General features: G+C 50.2%; 1 protein-coding gene across 3 annotated transcripts in view, besides 3 other annotated features; it reads right to left on the bottom strand.

Moving 5' to 3' along the window:
• Nucleotides 1–16,854, bottom strand: part of SMAD6 (SMAD family member 6) — an 80,614-nt gene that overhangs the window by 22,043 nt on the left and 41,717 nt on the right. The window lies entirely within an intron of this gene.
• Nucleotides 2,566–3,124: an enhancer, noted in NCBI's record as "H3K4me1 hESC enhancer chr15:67050021-67050579 (GRCh37/hg19 assembly coordinates)". NCBI's record gives its function as "activates a minimal SCP1, AML or CMV promoter by ChIP-STARR-seq in naive H9 embryonic stem cells {active_cell/tissue: H9 hESC(naive)}" and the evidence as "EXISTENCE:reporter gene assay evidence [ECO:0000049][PMID:30033119]".
• Nucleotides 14,282–14,576: a silencer, noted in NCBI's record as "tiled region #14210; K562 Repressive non-DNase unmatched - State 10:DNaseD". NCBI's record gives its function as "represses a minimal TATA promoter and a strong SV40 promoter by Sharpr-MPRA in K562 cells {active_cell/tissue: K562}" and the evidence as "EXISTENCE:reporter gene assay evidence [ECO:0000049][PMID:27701403]".
• Nucleotides 15,661–16,286: an enhancer, noted in NCBI's record as "H3K27ac-H3K4me1 hESC enhancer chr15:67036859-67037484 (GRCh37/hg19 assembly coordinates)". NCBI's record gives its function as "activates a minimal SCP1, AML or CMV promoter by ChIP-STARR-seq in naive H9 embryonic stem cells {active_cell/tissue: H9 hESC(naive)}" and the evidence as "EXISTENCE:reporter gene assay evidence [ECO:0000049][PMID:30033119]".

Below are 16,854 nucleotides of genomic sequence, written 5' to 3'. Positions count from 1 at the left end.
CGTGGTTGGTCCCAGCGCCAGGCCTGGGAGACTGGCTGGGAAGGCGACACTCTGGAGCCGTCACGGATGGCCCTGACTAGTGTGTCTGGGTGTGTTTGAGGACAGGCCCTTGGGACAGTGTGCACCTCCCTGTGGGATTTGGAATCAAGGACCTCAGTTCAAATCCTAGCTCTGCCACTTCCTAGCTGTGTGTCTGGGATGAATGCCTCAGCCTCTCTGGGCCTCAGGTTCCCCAACTGTGACATGAGATCAGGAGCAGCCATGAGGATGAATCACTGGAAAGGGACTAAAGTACTAATCACTGACGAGTCCTTCGAGCCCGCCATGTGCCAGGCACACCTAGTTCTCACAACAACCCTACAACATAGATGTTCTTAATTTTCAAAGTCACCGGCGGTACAGGTTTCTGACTGTTCTGCTCTGGCACGCAGGGAGTCTTCCCCCCATGCTGCCTTCCTTCCCTTCTCTGGATTCCACAGGCACTGCCTAGCACCCATGATGGGCACTGCTCTGCATGGGGCACCAGGAGACCGAGACACATCTCTGCCTGCAAAGCTCCAAGTCCAACAGGAAGAAAGGGTGTGATCGCAAAAGAGCATTATAAATGAGGGGCAGTGAGGCAAGGAACACAGAGACATCACAACCATCTAGAAAAGGAAGGTTAACAATCAAGGATTTGAAGGCTGAGTGCAGTGGCGGGGAGGGTGGGAGGGATGGGGAGGAAAAGCGGCATTCCAGGTTTGGGGAACGGCATGGGCAGAGGCACACGGGCAGGAGACAAGGCCAGAAAGGTCTCGTTTGACCAGATTGCAGAAGGGCTAGTGAAAAGTCTGCAGAGGCCGCCTGGGGACCAGACCATGCCGGGCCTTGACTATCTGGTCAGGAGTAAGCACCTGTGTTGGGCAAGGAGAGCCAGAACCCAAACAGTTCCCAATCTCAGGTATGCACACCCCAACAGAGGGCAGGGACCCTGCTCACACTACCTCTGGATCTCAGGATCCAACCTGGTGCCGACAAGTGAATGTGAATAATACTAGAAGACAAGTGGATTCTACAAGTGCAAACTCTAGGACTGTACAAAGCAGTGAAGATTCAGAGCTTTTGTTCCTGGTCTTTATTTGTGAAGCCTATTTAGAGGTAGGACAGATCACTCTAGTTTAAAAAATAAAAGGAGTAAACGAAGATCCAACAAAGCACGGTGGGATGAGCATCTATAAAGATATACATATGTAGATCATCAAGTTTACTGTGCTGCAATCCATAGTCACAAAGATATGGAACTGACCTAAGTGCCCATACATACTGGGTACAGTGTACACTGCTCAGGTGACAGGTGTACTAAAATCTCAGAATTCATCGCTATAGAATTCATCCATGTAACCAAAAGCTACTTGTACCCCAAAAGCTGTTGAAACAAAAAAAGTTTGCTGTGTTGTTCATGAATATTTCTCTCTCTCTCTCTCTCTCTCTTCCTCTCTGTCCAGTAGGTCTGTGCACTTCTGAAAGCATGATTATAAAGCCCCACTTTTCTGGGGATTTATCAAATTCTCTTATTTCTGTCCATTTTTGATTTAGGTATTTCAAAGACATGTTGTCAGGTGTACAAAGATTATTGATTATTATACCTTACAGATCATTTTGGCTTTGATATAAATAAGGAATCAGCAAAAGAGAAATTTGGCCTGCCAGCTGTTTTTACCGAGTTTTGTTGGAACGTAGGCTTACTCATTGTTTTATGTATTATCTATAGATGTCCTCGGGCTACAGTGGCAGAGTTGAATTGTTGCAACAGAGACTGTGTGCCCTGCAAAGCCTAAAGTGTTTACTATCCATTTTACAGAAAAAGTTTGCTCTGAACCTCTTGGTTCCTGCTTTTTTGCCTGAAATATTATTACTTCATATTAATATTGCTCCTCTTGCTTTCTTTTTCTTTAGCATTGACTTCTATGTCTTTTCCCATTCCCTTTAGATTCAACCTTTCTCCATAATTTTGTTAAGGTGTGTCTCTTCTAGATTAGCATGTAGCTGGATGCATAAAGACAAAATCTGAGAGCATTTATCTTTTTTTTTTTTCTTCTGGAGACAGAGTCTCACTCTGTCACCCAGGCTGGAATGCAACGGCACGATCTCAGCTCACTACAAACTCTGCCTCCCAGGTTCAAGTGATTTTCCTGCCTCAGCCTCCCGAGTACCTGGGACTATACATGCCTGCAACCGTGCCAGGCTAATTTTTGTATTTTTAGCAGAGACGGGGTTTCACCATGTTGGTCAGGCTTGTCTCAAACTCCTGACCTCAGATGATCCGTCCACCTCGGCCTCCCAAAGTGCTGGGATTACGGGCATAAGCCACCACACCTGGCCCTGAGAGTGTTTATCTTTTAATAGATTATTTTAACACATTCGTATTTACTGTTATGAGTATTTGGACCTGCCATGCTGTTCTGTTTTTTGAAATTTATCATGTTTTGTTGTTGTTTCCATCCTGCCAAGCTTTGGAATTCCCTCTCAAGAGAAGACTGGGATGGGGAAGAAAGAGAGGATTCTGCTTTAGCAGTGTTTAAATTCTATATAGAGAGAATGTCACTATATTTCTTGCTTAATCATGTATTACTTCATATTAATAATAAAAAAGAGTTTTCAAGAACCAAGAGTTGTGAATATACAGGGATCTCTGTGGTTAATTCTCAGGTCAGCAAAAGTTCCAGTCACACTTTCCTGCCACTGCGTCCACCCGCAGACACACAATGACAACAACTTTCTATCCATGGAGTAAATGTGGAATTCGCTTGAAGGAGGGTCCCACGCCCACTCCATCAGACTAACAAGAAGCTGGCCCCTCTGGGCTCTGCTGGTGGCCACGGGAAAGTGCTGTCTGAGGTAGGCACACGTGCCTGAGAGCTGTCCCTACTGCCCCTAGTCAGGCCACCACCACCACGTCTGCAGAGCCTACCCCGGTGCCCAGGATGCCCAGCGCATTCCATGCCACTCTGTTGTCCTGCCAGCACTTCCTTCGCGGCTCGGTGGACATTCTGGCATCCAGGCTGTGTGAGCAGAATGCGGCGCTCAGGGCAGCCCTGGCCAGACCCCCTCCAGGCACTGAACTACTGCCCTCATGCCTCTGCCAGGGGGCCCCACCTTCAGAATTCTCTTCATCCCTCCCCAGAGTGTCAGAGCTAAGCAGGACCTCCAAGAGACTGTGGGACAAGGGCCAGAAGGGGCCGGCATCAAGGCAGACCAGCCCCCGGCCTGGGAGACCCAGCCTGAGGGTCCTGCTGGACACCCCTCAGGAGTGAGCCTGGGTTCAGCTCTGCCTCCAGCCAGCCCCACACCATCTCTGGGCCTCTGCTCACTCCCCTGGGCTAAATAATGTGTCCGCTGTCTCCTGAGTCCACATGAACCTCTGTCATTGTGGGGGACTCCTCCTTAAGGAAAGGGTGGCTGGAGGGGATCCCCAAGCTGAAAGGAAAGCGGCATTTCTTGCTATGTCTGACACCCCCTAGACACCAGGTTCACTCCTTCAGAGGGAGACGTCGGGGCTGCACACCACGCCTCCTCCCGTACCCTGCGTATTGGAGTTGGCAGTTGGTGAGGAAGTTTTGTTCCCTGGACGTCTGCTGTGTTTTGCGTGTCTCACACCAGCCCGCTCTATTAGATCCTTATGGCATGAACGGGAGACGAGGACTATCACGTACACTACAGATGGGGAAACTGAGGCTCAGGGAGATTAAGCCATGTCCTCAGGACACCAGAGCTAGTCAGCAGCAGAAGCCCCCCATCGCTAACCCAAAGTCTAAGGACTCCCAGTCAGGGTTTTTTCCACTACACCACAACCGTCTCAGGTAGACATGAGGCAGAACTTCCCTCCCAACATATGAGTATCGGGCCCAAAGCTCCCTGTAGGGGAGGAGGAAGGAATCTTCCCAGGGAGAAGAAACAGCCAAAACAGACACAAGGGGAGCATCTCCCTCCCATCCTCCACCCTCACCTCTGTCCAGAGGACACAGCTCATGCTGCAAACCACTCTGCCCGAATTCACTTTGTGATTTTAGGCAAGTTAAGCCCTGGGCTTTGGTTTCCTCAAACCTAAGAGGATGGACTATCGGAAACTCTGGTGTCCCTTCTGGCCCCAATCTCCACTGGCAGATTCTGCCATGTGTATGGGACCCTCCCCTTTGTGGGTATGTGGGATGGAGGGGAGGGCAGACAGAACGATGGAAAACAAATATTTTCAAGGGATGGGAGTAAACACCACTGTTGGCATGGCAGCGCCAGTGGAGCTGCTGAACTAGAATCCTGAAACCGTTAAAAATAGGAAAAGAAACGGTACAGTTCACATATTTTGCAAAGCTAAGTTAAATCAACATCTGCAAAAAATATCCCTGTTAAACGGAATAGCAGGATTTCATTAAGTAAATTGCAAGTTGGCAAAAATTCTGAAAGAAAGGGGAAAAGCCACGGGCTGGCCTGTAATTTAAACCTTATTTTAACTGTGACAGCATGACTGCAAAGGGCTCCGTTTCCAAACGAAAGGAAAAAAATAAAATAAAACCTAAAAAAAAAAAATTTTTTTAAAGGGCCTCCTGCACTCCCAGGCACCCCCCACTCCTAGCTTCCACGTACCCACAATATTTTCAGTAATTATAATGTTACCTAGTTTTCCCATGGATACAACAAATGAGGGACAGGGAGAAGGGGGAGGTGTGGGGAAGAAGGAGGAAAAAGTGAACACACAGACAAAGTCACCATTGTCACCTCTAATTAGTTTTTTTTTTTTTTAACCAAAATGACTTGAAGCATAGAACTCTGGGAATCTTTTCCTTCCTCCAGGAGGCCTTTCTGTTTAACCCCACTGTGGGTTCCCCCGGCATGAAGCCCCATACAGTGGTGGGGGCCAAACCCAGCTCAGCCCAGAGAAGAGGAGATTGCCCCTTCACTTGCTGGGATGACCCTGCTGCTCACCTCGGGCAGGCTCCTCGCTCCCTGAGCCTCAGGTCCTCAGCCCTGGAATAAGGTGACAACAGCAGCCACTGCCCAGACCCTGGAGTACCAGCAGAGCAGTGGAGAGGAGGACAGGAAAGCCCTTTGTAAAACCCAGAGAACCTGAAACTCCTGGGACAAGCTAGGGGCTCTTCCACCTGGAGCCCAGGTAAGCAGATAGCTGCAGTGGCGATTTCATGAACCCGTAAGCAATTGCAGACACAGCCTTCAACACTGAAGATCCTGACCCTGAGCACCGCAACCTCTCCCTTCATAGCTAAAATCCAGGGTTCCCTCCATCAGTCCCTGTGGTGTCATTCAAGGATGGTTCAATACCTGGAATGTGCCTCTCATAAAAGAAACTTGAGCAGAAGGAATCATCTACTTGGCTGTTAAAAAATCTGTTTTCTTATTTGGCAATGGTGCACACACTCACTTCTCTCTTCCCATAAAGAATCTTACTGTTAACCCCCACATCTAAAAAAGATCAATGTAAAGCCAGCCTACCACGCTGGCTGGGCCTGTGAGTCCATGAGAACCTGCCTGGCACCGTCCTGTGAACAAACAGAAATTTCTGCTGGATCCTCAAACTGGTGGTGATTCTTCAACACGGCAGTGGCCCTTCGTAGTGGGCCATGACTCCTCCCCATCACCCCCATACCCTTAGGAAGGCTTTGAAGGGTAAAGACAGCACTGGAACCAATAAACAGCTTTTTTTCTGCACACAACTGATCTGCTGCTAGTTTCTAGAAAAAAAACAAATATGGACCGTATGAGAGTGTGCAGTAATTTACAGGCCCAGAGAAGGTAAGGTGTTTGCCTAAGGTCACACAGCAAATAAGCAGTAGAGGAGGGGATTACAGATAAGAATAAAGCAGCCTATCCCTCAGCCCCTACTGGAATCTTATCTGCTTGGTGAGCTGAGACACATTAGCACCCCCAGCCCACACAGCCTCCCCTTACCTAGCACCCCTCTGCTACCTCTGCTAGGAGCCACAAAGCCTCATTCTGTCCTTTTCACTGTTGCCTTAAATGGACTTTTAGCTCCCACCCTGTTGGGGTAACTTTCCTCTGAGCTGCAGTGAATCCATCTGTAAAATGGGGATTATAATTAATCATATCCCATCCTCAGGATGGTTATAAGGATTCTGGGAGACACTCTACGTAAAATGCCCAACTCTGTGCTGAACAGCTAGTAGGCATTCATTCTGCATAACCCTACAAAGCCCAGCATAGAAGGCACTCAGAGAAATCACTAAATGGTATGAAAATGAGAATAAATGAATCCTATCCACCGCATAGTATCAATGCTGAGGGACAGAAAATAAAATGGGCACACGCATTCACTGAGCTCCTGCCCGGTACCACTGGCTGTAATTCACACAAGGGACCTGGGTGAACAGTGTATGTCCACGTGCAAGTGGAAGGTGGTCGGAGGAGGCTGTTTAGAAGATGCAAGTATGAACCCCTGAATACCGCAAAGCTCGGTCCAGTCTTCTGCAGCACAGGAAGAGCCTGCCCATTCCCCAGGCAGTGACACCCAGAGCCAGGCAAAGGTCTGACCTTTCTGCAAGGATAAGTTTCAGCTTGACCCCTGGCTTTAATTTGAGAGCACAAGCAAGAGGTTGGCCCACTTACTGAGAGTGGCAGAGGTTGAAGGAGTCCAGAGAATACAACAGAGTCAGGTGGAGAGACCGGAGGAATGAGAAATATGCCCCTGTTTTTGAAGACCAGGCAGCCATAGCACCCATTCATGGAGCACTTACTATGTATATTCTTAACTCAATCCTGAGATGGGATTTTTACTTTTACAAAGCAGGGCAGATGAGCCCATGACCACCCACCTACATGTCACTCCTGTAGAGGTGACATCTGAACTTGAGCTCCCAGGCACCCTGCACACTGCCCCTTGGGGCCTCCGAGGGCAGGCAATGCCAGGAAGCTGGCAAGGAAATGAAACCCGAGTCATCCAGCTGGGGCACCCCTGAGCCAGGACCGAGGAGTCCTGGCTCCCTGTCTGGGGCTGTTTCCCTCAGACCTAAATCTCCAAAAGAGTGATGAAGTCCGGCAAGAAGAGGAAGAAAAAAAAATGTAAATTTCCTCTTCAAGTTCAATGAGGATCTTTGAGGAAGGGAGGCCTGAGGTGCGCAAGGTGGGGAGCAAGTATTAGATCCCGTTGGCCCTCCTACCATGGCAGAAGGCTAGAGGAGCCACAAGGCTCACTCCTAGTTCTGCTTAGTTCCTAGTATGGTACGTACGACTTTGAGTAAGTCGCTTCCCTTCTCAAAGCCTTGGTTTCTCCATCTATGGAATGGACTCAGGCCCAGAAATAAGACCCTTACAAAAGGCCACCCAAGGGAGCCGAGGCAGGAGGGAACAGAACAGATGGTGCCTAGAGCAGCAGTGCTGAGCGTTACAGGAACAAGGAGGTGCCACTGGGGCTCCTTGGAGATGGCCCAACGCACAAGGACCCACATCTGCCCAGATCCCTGCGACTGGGGTGACAGGAGGGCAGGCTGGGATGGGCACTGGGATGTCCCCACCCCTCCCTGGGCACACCCTCTTACAGGACCCATCACCTTTCCCACATCCCAGATCCTAAAAGTACTGGGAGGGTCTCATCAGGCCTCAGGGACCTTTGTGGGAAATGCATGGGAGGCTGTGGAGAAGAGGAAGGAAGACAAGGGACTTTAAAACCTGGGCTGCAAGACCCCAAACAAGCCTCCTCCCCTCTCTGGGGCCCTTCAACTTCACCTGCAAAATGGCAATAATGAAACAACCTTCCAAGAGCTGTATGTCATGAGAATTCAGTAAGACAGCACACTGAAAGCATGCAGCACATGTATGCCTTTAGCAAATGTTACCCTTGTCCCCCTGTACCTTCTCCATGGATGCCCCTTGCTGTCTCCTGTGCCAAACATCACCTCCTCAGCGAAGCCTTCCCACACTTACCTAGGCAATTCTGCTGAGTTCCCACAGCAAAATATTCAGATTTTTATAAAAGCTTTCTGTATTTTTTTATTATTATTTTTTTAAAGAGATGGGGACTCACTCTGCTGCCCAGGCTGGAGCGAATGATGCAGTCATAGCTCACTGTAGCCTCAAACTCCTGGGCTCAAGCAATCCTCCCACCTCAGCCTCCTAAGTAGCTGGGACTACAGGCATGTGCCACCACGCCCAGCTAATTTTTAATTATTATTTTTTTTTTGTAGAGACAGGGCCTCACTATGTTGCCCAGTCTGGTCTCGAACTCCCAGCCTCAGTAATCCTCCTGCCTCAGCCTCCCAAAGTGCTGGGATTAAAGGTACAAGCCACTGCACCCAGCCCTATGTATGTATTTTTAAATTGTGAGTCTGCTTCCATTCAACTGTGAGCATTTTGAAAACAGAGGCAAGAGCTGGTAGAGTGACACAAGACCATCTATCCTAGTGGAAGAACTCAAAACACCCCCCAAAGTTACACAGAGAGCCAACACAAGACCTGGCCTTGAACCTGAATCTTCTGAGCATGAGCCCGGGGCTCTCCCCTGAGGATCTCCTCCTGTATCTGTGGTCTGTCAGAAAGTGGGGAGGGCCCCCCACAGAGGCAAAGCTGCCAGCACTGGCCTCAGCCGTCCTGACCTATGAGAGTCCCAGAGTCCTGGGAATCCTGAGACCCAGAAAAGCTTCCTAGGCCTCAATGACTTCAGCTTGAAAGTGGGCAATTCTCATTCCACCTCCCTCAATGGTTTCCCTGAGGAGCAACTGAAAAGCTGGATTATTAACTGCCTGAAAAAAAAAAAAAAAAAAAGGTGCCATTAAATGAAGGGGGTTTTATTATGTTTATAAGCAACTATAATAAAACATACCTTACATAGCAGCTTCCTACGGAAGGAGTAGGAGGAAAGGCAGGCTGGCCCTCCAAGGCCCGACTCCAATTCTGGCTGTCACTAAGTCACCGTGTGACTCGGAGAAGTCACTGGTGTCTCTGAGACTGTTTCCTCTTCTCAACAAAACAAAGGTTTGGTCTGGCTGATCGCCAAAGTCCCTCCAGCTCTGACATCCTGCTCTGTGCCTGGCACCATGCAGGTGTGGGGGGTAGAATGGACAACTCAGACATCCAAGCTCTGGTGAGTCAAACATCTGGCACAATGACCCACTGAAGACGGGGTGAGGGCCACAGCCAGAGCATGGCCAGTCACCTCCTCCCCACCACTGGCTTCACACTTTGCATTGACCTTGACACAGGCCTGCCACGTCAGGAAAGCAGTGTAGACTAGGGGCTCAGGAGGCCAGGGCTTTGGGTCTTAGTTCCTGTGGGCCTCAGTTTCCCATTGTGGAAGAGGCAGCAATAGACCCACCCAGCGTGCCACCTCACAGCCTGATGGGAGGTCCATGGGAGGGCATGCACTATCAGCCTGGAAGGGAAGGGAGTGGGAATGAATAGTCCTGAACATCCACTATGCACTAAGCACTAGGCACTGTTCATGGACTACCATTCAAGGCTCACAATTGGTGGGCGAGTAGGTTCAGCAGCTTCACCAGAGCCACGGGCTACCAAGAGGCCGAGCTGGGACTGGCCCCACCTTCGGATTCTGGAGTAGGAGGTAAAGCCTGCAGGTCTGAGCCCTCTCTGCAGAGCAAAGATGATCACCACCACCACCACCCTCTGACTTCCTGCAGAATAAGGCTCAACATTTTGCAAAGTGCTTTTACTCAGAGAATCTCAGGCACGGGGCGTTCTCAGTATTTGTTCTCCAAAAGGCAGGGGCTTGCTGGGCTCTCCTTTCCTTAGAACAAACTACTGCTCTAGGAGACCAGTGCAGGGGGTGGGGGTGTCTCTGGGTTACTCATGGCCTAGCACGTGGAGGCCCAGCAAACACCTCTGCCGGCGCTCTGCTCACATCCCCTCAGCCCCCAATTCCATGCAAATGCCAACACCTGCTTTTGTCCTAGGACTCGCCCTGCCTGCTAGGGGCTTGCTCTGCCTGAGTGCTGGGAAGTGCCAGGAACAGATGCACCAGGAGTGGGGGATTAATATCCCAGCTCCCTCACCCCATAAGGAGGATAGCAGGGGTGAGTTCTGTATTGCTTCCCTAAGTTCCCAGCGGGATTCGGCTCCGACTGCCCACAGAAGTAGCTGGCTTGATAATGCCACCTACACTGGCCCCTTCTCTTCCCTTCCCAGCACTCTCCTAACTGCTGTTTCCTGGTCAACCCCCCGCCTCAATAAACCGGGCACTTGAATTTTTGGTGCGAGGTCTGCTCCTGGGAAAACTGCCCCTTGGCACCAAATAAATCATACCATAGCCAAGTCCAAGTCCCTCAAAAGATGGGAAGCACTGTGAGAACAAGGCTTGGGTCTGCTTTGTACCCCACACCAGGTACAGGGCTGGGCTCAGAGGATGTTCCCTTAAATGGAGCAAAATGAAATTCGGATGAGTCATTCAATGAGCATTCACTGGCCACATGGAATGTCCCAATCTTCTGAGCATACAGAAGGACACTTGTCCTTGTCCTCAAGGCACCCCCAGTCTAACTCGGAGCTAAGATATGCAACAGTTTATGAAGATACCCACAAAGAAAGAGGGGTTTGGTACCAAGGGGGTTTTCTTAGGTGTCTAGATTTGATGTCTCTGTCTTACTCAGTGGTGACTGGCCCAAGGTCACATTGCTCTGCTATCTATCTGTAAAAAGAGACTTCAAACCATTCCAGGGCAGGGTTGCAAAGAAGGCCCCCTGCGTCCCCCACAGCAGCCCACAAGGTAAGCTGGCAATCGATACAGGGCCACTGGTTAATCTCTGAGGAAAGAACACGTGTGTGAGGGCTGTGTGTGCTTCCCATGTGTACACATTAATCTGGAAGGACAAAACCTCGCCAGGGCTGGAAAACGTGCTGAGGACACATGATTTTCCCTTTCTCTCTTCAGAGCCAAATCCAATCTGCAGCAGGCTCCACTGTCCCAGCAACTCTGAACAACTGTCCATGCCCAAAGACTCGATTCTGGCACACAAAAGGGGGTGCCACCTGGGGTCAGTCCTCCTTGGGTAGGTATCAGCCGAGATTAGAATCACAGAGTCCCTGGACCCAGGAGGATTCAACCAGGCACCTTCCACCATGCATTGAGCTCACTGGACACAGGAAGTGCCCAATGATCGCTGTGTCTCTGCCCCCTAGTTTCCTAGACCTGCAAGGGCCCTCTGGAGCTTCCACTCCATTAAATTTTTTTGTTTTTTTGAGGTAGGATCTCTGTTACCCAGGCTGGAGTACAGTGGAGCTATCATGTCTCACTGCAGCCTCCAACCTTCCGGGCTCAACTTTGCTCCCATCTCAGCCTCCTGGGTAGGTGCATGCCACGACGCCTGCCTAATTTTTGTTTGTTTGTTTCTTTTGAGATGGAGTTTTGCTCTTGTTGTCCAGGCTGGAGTGCAATGGCGTGATCTCAGCTCACTGCAACCTCTGCCAGCAAGGTTCAATCGATTCTCTTGCCTTACCCTCCCAAGTAGCTAGGATTACAGGCACCCACCACCATGCCTGGCTAATTTTTGTATTTTTAGTAGAGACAGAGTTTCACCATGTTGGCCAGGCTGGTCTCAAACTCCTGACCTCATGATCCGCCTGCCTTGGTCTCCAAAAGTGCTAGGATTACAGGCCTGAGCCACTGCACCTGGCCAGTTTTTGTATTTTTTGTAGAGACGGGGTTTTGCCATGTTGCCCAGGCTAGTCTTGAACTCCTGTGCTCAAGCAATCTGCCCATCTCAGTCTCCCCAAAGTGCTGAGATTACAGGCATGAACCACCACACCCAGCCCACTCTGGTAATTTTGAACCAAGAAGGCACAACAGAAGCACCTGGGGAACCAATTGAATTAGACTGGGCACCGGGCATGTGTATTATGACAAAGTTCTCTAATCTGAATTCCTGATTTAACTGAGGAGAAACTGAGTCCCCAGGGGTGGTGATTGATCCAGGAATCTACAGCTCATATCAAGTCCTGGCAAATAAAATATTTGGAAGAGCACATCTCATCCAAGTCTCTCCCTATAGCTTTAAAAGGAAACTCCCGTCGAGTCTCCTTTTCCTGATAGTCTTGGGCAAAAGCAAGTTAGGGAACAGCAGGGAAGGGGAAAAGCCTGGGGAAGGGCAGGAGAGTAGGAACTCCCTCCCCTGAAAGGGCCTTGCAATCTAATGAAGTGAAGAGAGGGAGATTCAGGTGGCAGTTCAAACGCTAACGTTTTAAAGATGAAAGTATGCAATTCAATTAAATGTTTAAATAGTGTTTTCTCATACTAAATCACTGAAACGTTTGTGCATTCCTTGAATTTCTCAGGGCACTGTTCATTTTTATTTATTGTTGTAACCCAATGCCCTTAGCTGCGTGAATGGTGCTATTTGAAGGAAACTTGTTTTGCAAAGGGGAAAGTTGTCCCAGGTCTCTTAAAAGGTTCATTATGTGCGTGGTAACTAGGCTCTATTAATAATCCCGGACTATACAGGCACGGCTTACTTTCCATTTAGCATTATATTTTCCACAATTCTGTAAACAGCTCCTCCACACAAACTCTTCTGATATTTAATTCCTCCCTATTTTTTTGCCTAACCACTCTTCTCTCTGGGGCTACTCCTTATTTAAAAAAAAAAAAAAATGGGAAGAAATCACCAAGCACACATATTTTTTCAATTAAGCCATGCTTGGTGCCAAAATATATGGATCCCACTAATAGCCATAAGTAATCTTAAGGTCTTTTCCCCAAATATTTTGATTATTTTACAAATCCCCCAAGGAATGTGCTCTTAGGATGATTTATGGAGCCCAGGGAGGCTCATGATTGGAAGGAGTGGTCTGGCTACAATGGGGCAAGTTAGGGCGTGGGGGTGGCTGTGTGCGCCCCCAGCCACTGCCTCATGCCGGAGAAAGAGAAGTGGGGTGCAAAGGGCTCTCAGGGAAGACTTTAGGCCATCTCTGCAGGGGTGAGAATGGGAAGGATTAAGGGTTCCTACGAGGGACAGATGGCTGCTGTCAGTCCTGACGAAATGGTGGCCAGAGCATAAGTAACCACCACAGACAATCCCTGATGTCCAGTGATCCCCAAGTCATTTGCATTGGCCCTGCATTCTAAGGCAGGTGTTTCGTTCAACCTCTATCAAATTTACACTCCTCATTTTCCAATTATCCTAGGTAGGTATGACTAAGGGGGAAACCGTGGAGTCAGTGTCCGAGGAAGGCTAACCTAGTCTTAAAAACTACCTGGGAATTAGCTTCAGGTGAGAAGCAGCAATGCCAGTAGGCAGATGGGGTGGTGCCAATGCCAGGCGGGCTCTGCAATCAGCATCTCCCAGCCTCCTGACCATGAAGCCCCTGAACGCCCTGAGGGAACACCCAGAAGAGAAGGGGGCCAGGGCCCACAAAGACCAGCCGGGAGGAGCAGGCTTAGTTCCCCACGGGGAAGCAGAGTCTGGCCAGAGCCTCCTGCTGACGGAGGCAGTCCAAATCAAAGCCAGGCTCCTTAGCACCGGCAGGTAAGGCGCTCATGGGGAAGGGCAGGTGTGGTGGGAAGGCCAGGCCTTGGCAGCCAGAGGCCCATGGCCCATCCATATCCCGCTGGCCTGGCCATGCAAACACAGCAAACCACGCAACCTCTGGCCAAGCCTCATTTTCCCCACTTGCCATGTGGAGATAAGAATTTCTGTCCTCCTGGCTGGATCCTCTCAGGGAAGATCAACTGGATCAATTAGATTAGTTGGATTATTTTTGTAAAATGAAAATCAAGCCAGAAGAAATTTATGTATTAGTGCTATTCTAGCAAGAACTGACATACTAAATGTCCAAAAGCACAATATCCCAGAAAGTCACTCAAACATACTCTTCCCTTATTAATACTTCAAAACAAGATTAACCCTTTGGAGCCCTGGATCATGCCCCCAACTCTGGGGGATTCAATTATTCCCCCATGGTCAACTCTGATTTGAAGGGTCTGTGAATCACATGAAGCTGGGAGACTTGCTGGATTCACTTGTGGGTCACTGTAACTTCAAGTCCAGAAGCGAGCCCTCTGCACTACCTCTGCCAGCTGCTGTCAAATCAAACCTCACCCTACCTGGTCACCTGAGCAGTTTGATTATCGTGCCCACCAGGGACACAAAATCAGCCACAGCCAAAAGTGTCCAGGCCTCAGCTTGACAAAACTCAGGATACAAAAACCTCAGCAGTCACTGTCTCAGCCTCCCACATGCAAGAGGGTGTCTCAAAACAGCATTTTTCTCTGAATGAGTGAGTGACTTTTAATAAGCAGGTATGCACAAATCCCCAGCCTCCACGGCCAACACCAGGACCCCCCACCCCCCTAGAGCAAATCCAGAGAGGAACTTGGAGCCTCTGTGTCAGCAGGGGGAACAATAGGCTGAAGTCAGGGTCCTTGAGGATGTGGAACAAAGAGCTGGCTCGCCAGGGAGGGAGACCTTTAACTTCCAGACCTTTAAACCACACGTCCCAGCCCACACGTCCCACATGCCCCACAGGAGGGAGGAGGAGAGCCTATGGGTCATGCAGCCTTTTGAGGGTTCCAGCTTTGCTGGGGCCAGAAAACTCCCGCTTCACAAAGGATTAATAGGACAGGAGTCACCGAAGTTGCACAGCTGCCATGTCCCTTTCAGCAAGTCTAGCATTTATCACGAAACCTTCCCTCACCTGTATCGGAGGGCTTGGGGAAGCTCCAGAAGGGGTGGGCAGAGGCTGGTGAGCCCAGTGCCAGCCTGCTCCATCTCCCCCAACCCCAGCACCCTCTGGCTGATGCTTGGGGAGCCTCGGCCTCTTATCCGGGCCCACCAGCGAGGCACTAGTACACATCCCTAATGGCCACACCTGCCTGCAACAGGCCTTTGTCTCTGGCTCTGAACTGGCTGTGGGAAGTGGGGACAAGGGAGGGAGGGGGTACCACAGGACTTCAGGGGAAAACAGAGGAATTGAAAGGTCCTCCTCACTTCACACCATGTGGTTCTTATCTAGAAAGAGAAACAGAGGTGGAAAGAACTCAAAGAGCATCTACCACCCACCCATTCACTCTGTGGGTGAGCAAGCTGAGGCCCGGAGAGGGAAAGGGACTTGTCCAAGGTCACACAGCAAGCCGGAGGCAGAGCTTGGGGGGGAGCCTGACTCTGGGTCTTATGCCAGGCCACTGCTGTGCCACGTACCCTGCACAAGCAGCATCACTTTTCTAACACTTGGTGTCCTCATCAACAAAATAGATTCAGTAGTCTGATCACCAAAATACAAAGAACATCTAAGATGGGTGTTTGTGCCAATGTAAAAGTGTCCTCCTGGAGTAGGAAGCCCTTTTCCCCTTGACCCGTGGGGAAGGGGAGTTTAGGGAAAGGAGTAGAAGAGAACAGGAGCGAGAAGACCACTGAGAGCTGTTTAAAAGTGGGGCCCAGGAAGCCAGGTCGGGGTGAGGAGAGTCCTCTCTTGGGGGAGGGGCATCTGGAGCTGCCAGGCAGAAGACATGCCAGCTGGGGTGGGGGTGCTGTGAAAGAGGGACCTGGGGTAGGAGTGCGGGTAGGGGGCTCAGGGCCTAGAGGGCTCAGCTAGAACTCCGGATTTTAAAAGCAGGATGTGTGGCTGGGGCCTCTCTTCTTTCAAATAAACAATCCACAACCTTATTCAAAACAGAGGGGCAGCCAGGGAAGAGTTGGATCACCTTATTTCCATACCCCCTGGGGGTGCCACCAGCCACCTTGGAGGGTCCTGCTAAGAGGTTTTGGGGAGGGCAGGGTCCTGGGCTGGAAAGCAGCCACCCTCTGGCCAGAGGTCACCTGGTGGGGGGCAGGCTTGTTGGACCCATAGGGCTAAATTCTTGGCAATTGACCCTCTCCCAGTCCCCATCTTGACCACAGGCACCCAGATTCTTGGCAAGAACCAGAAAGGAGCCCCCAAGAACAAAGTCTAGTCCCTTAAGAAAACTGAGGCTCAGTCAGGCAATTGCCCAGGTCCCATAGGAGCTGGGGACAGGAAATCAGCCCAGACTCCCCACCCAGTTCTTCCTAGCACCCACTAGAGGGACTGGCGATGAGGGCTGTGGGCAGCACACTGGCTTATCCCACTTTCCTGCTGGGATCTAGACCACTCTACCAACGTTCTTGGATTCATTGGTCCCACAGAGCCTTTGTTCATTTGGCCAAGTATTTATGACAACACGGCTCTAGGCTTAGGGGGTGTAGCCAGCCATGAACAAGACTCAAACCTTACTTTAAGGAGTTCACAATCAGCTTCTGTGGGTAACACACTGCTTTTTGTTGTTCAACAAATATTCACTGCACGTCTAGTCCACGTGGCCCTGAGCAGGTGCCAGAGACGGAGGTGGATGGAGTGGAAGTGGTGGCCATGGCCCCACCCTCAGCCTGGACTTGGGATCCGGTGGCCTTCCAGGTGTTTGCCAGGTGTCCTGACACGTGTTATCTTCCCCCTTGAGGCACATGGAAGCCGCCTGAGGACACAGACCTGGTCTCTACTCTTTAGTGCATTCCCAGATGGCCTGGCCCGAGGCAGGCCACACAGCATTCACTCAAAAACTGGGAGTGGACTATTTACCAAATGCCTCCCTTCCTCTGGCAGGAAGTCGCTCCCAGAGCCGCGGTTTTTGTTTTTTCGACTCTTTCTGGGCTCGTGGTTTGGAAATAGCAAAGGGTTGTGAGTTACAGGATCCCGGCCCTCTCCTCCAGGGCAGCTGAGAGAGAAAACGGATACAGCCTTTCCGGAGGGCACTCTGACCTTAAATGTGTGTGGCCTTTGACCTGGCAATCCCACTTCTAGGAACATATCCTAAGGAAGTCACCAATGATGTGCACAAAGACATAAGATGCTCACCAAGCGGCAATGTTTTATGATAGTTTCTTTTAAAAAAAA

The sequence above is a fragment of the Homo sapiens genome, chromosome 15 (genome assembly GCF_000001405.40).
Source record: "Homo sapiens chromosome 15, GRCh38.p14 Primary Assembly".
NCBI lineage: Eukaryota > Metazoa > Chordata > Mammalia > Primates > Hominidae > Homo > Homo sapiens.
This window is presented reverse-complemented; position numbering and strand designations above follow the sequence as displayed.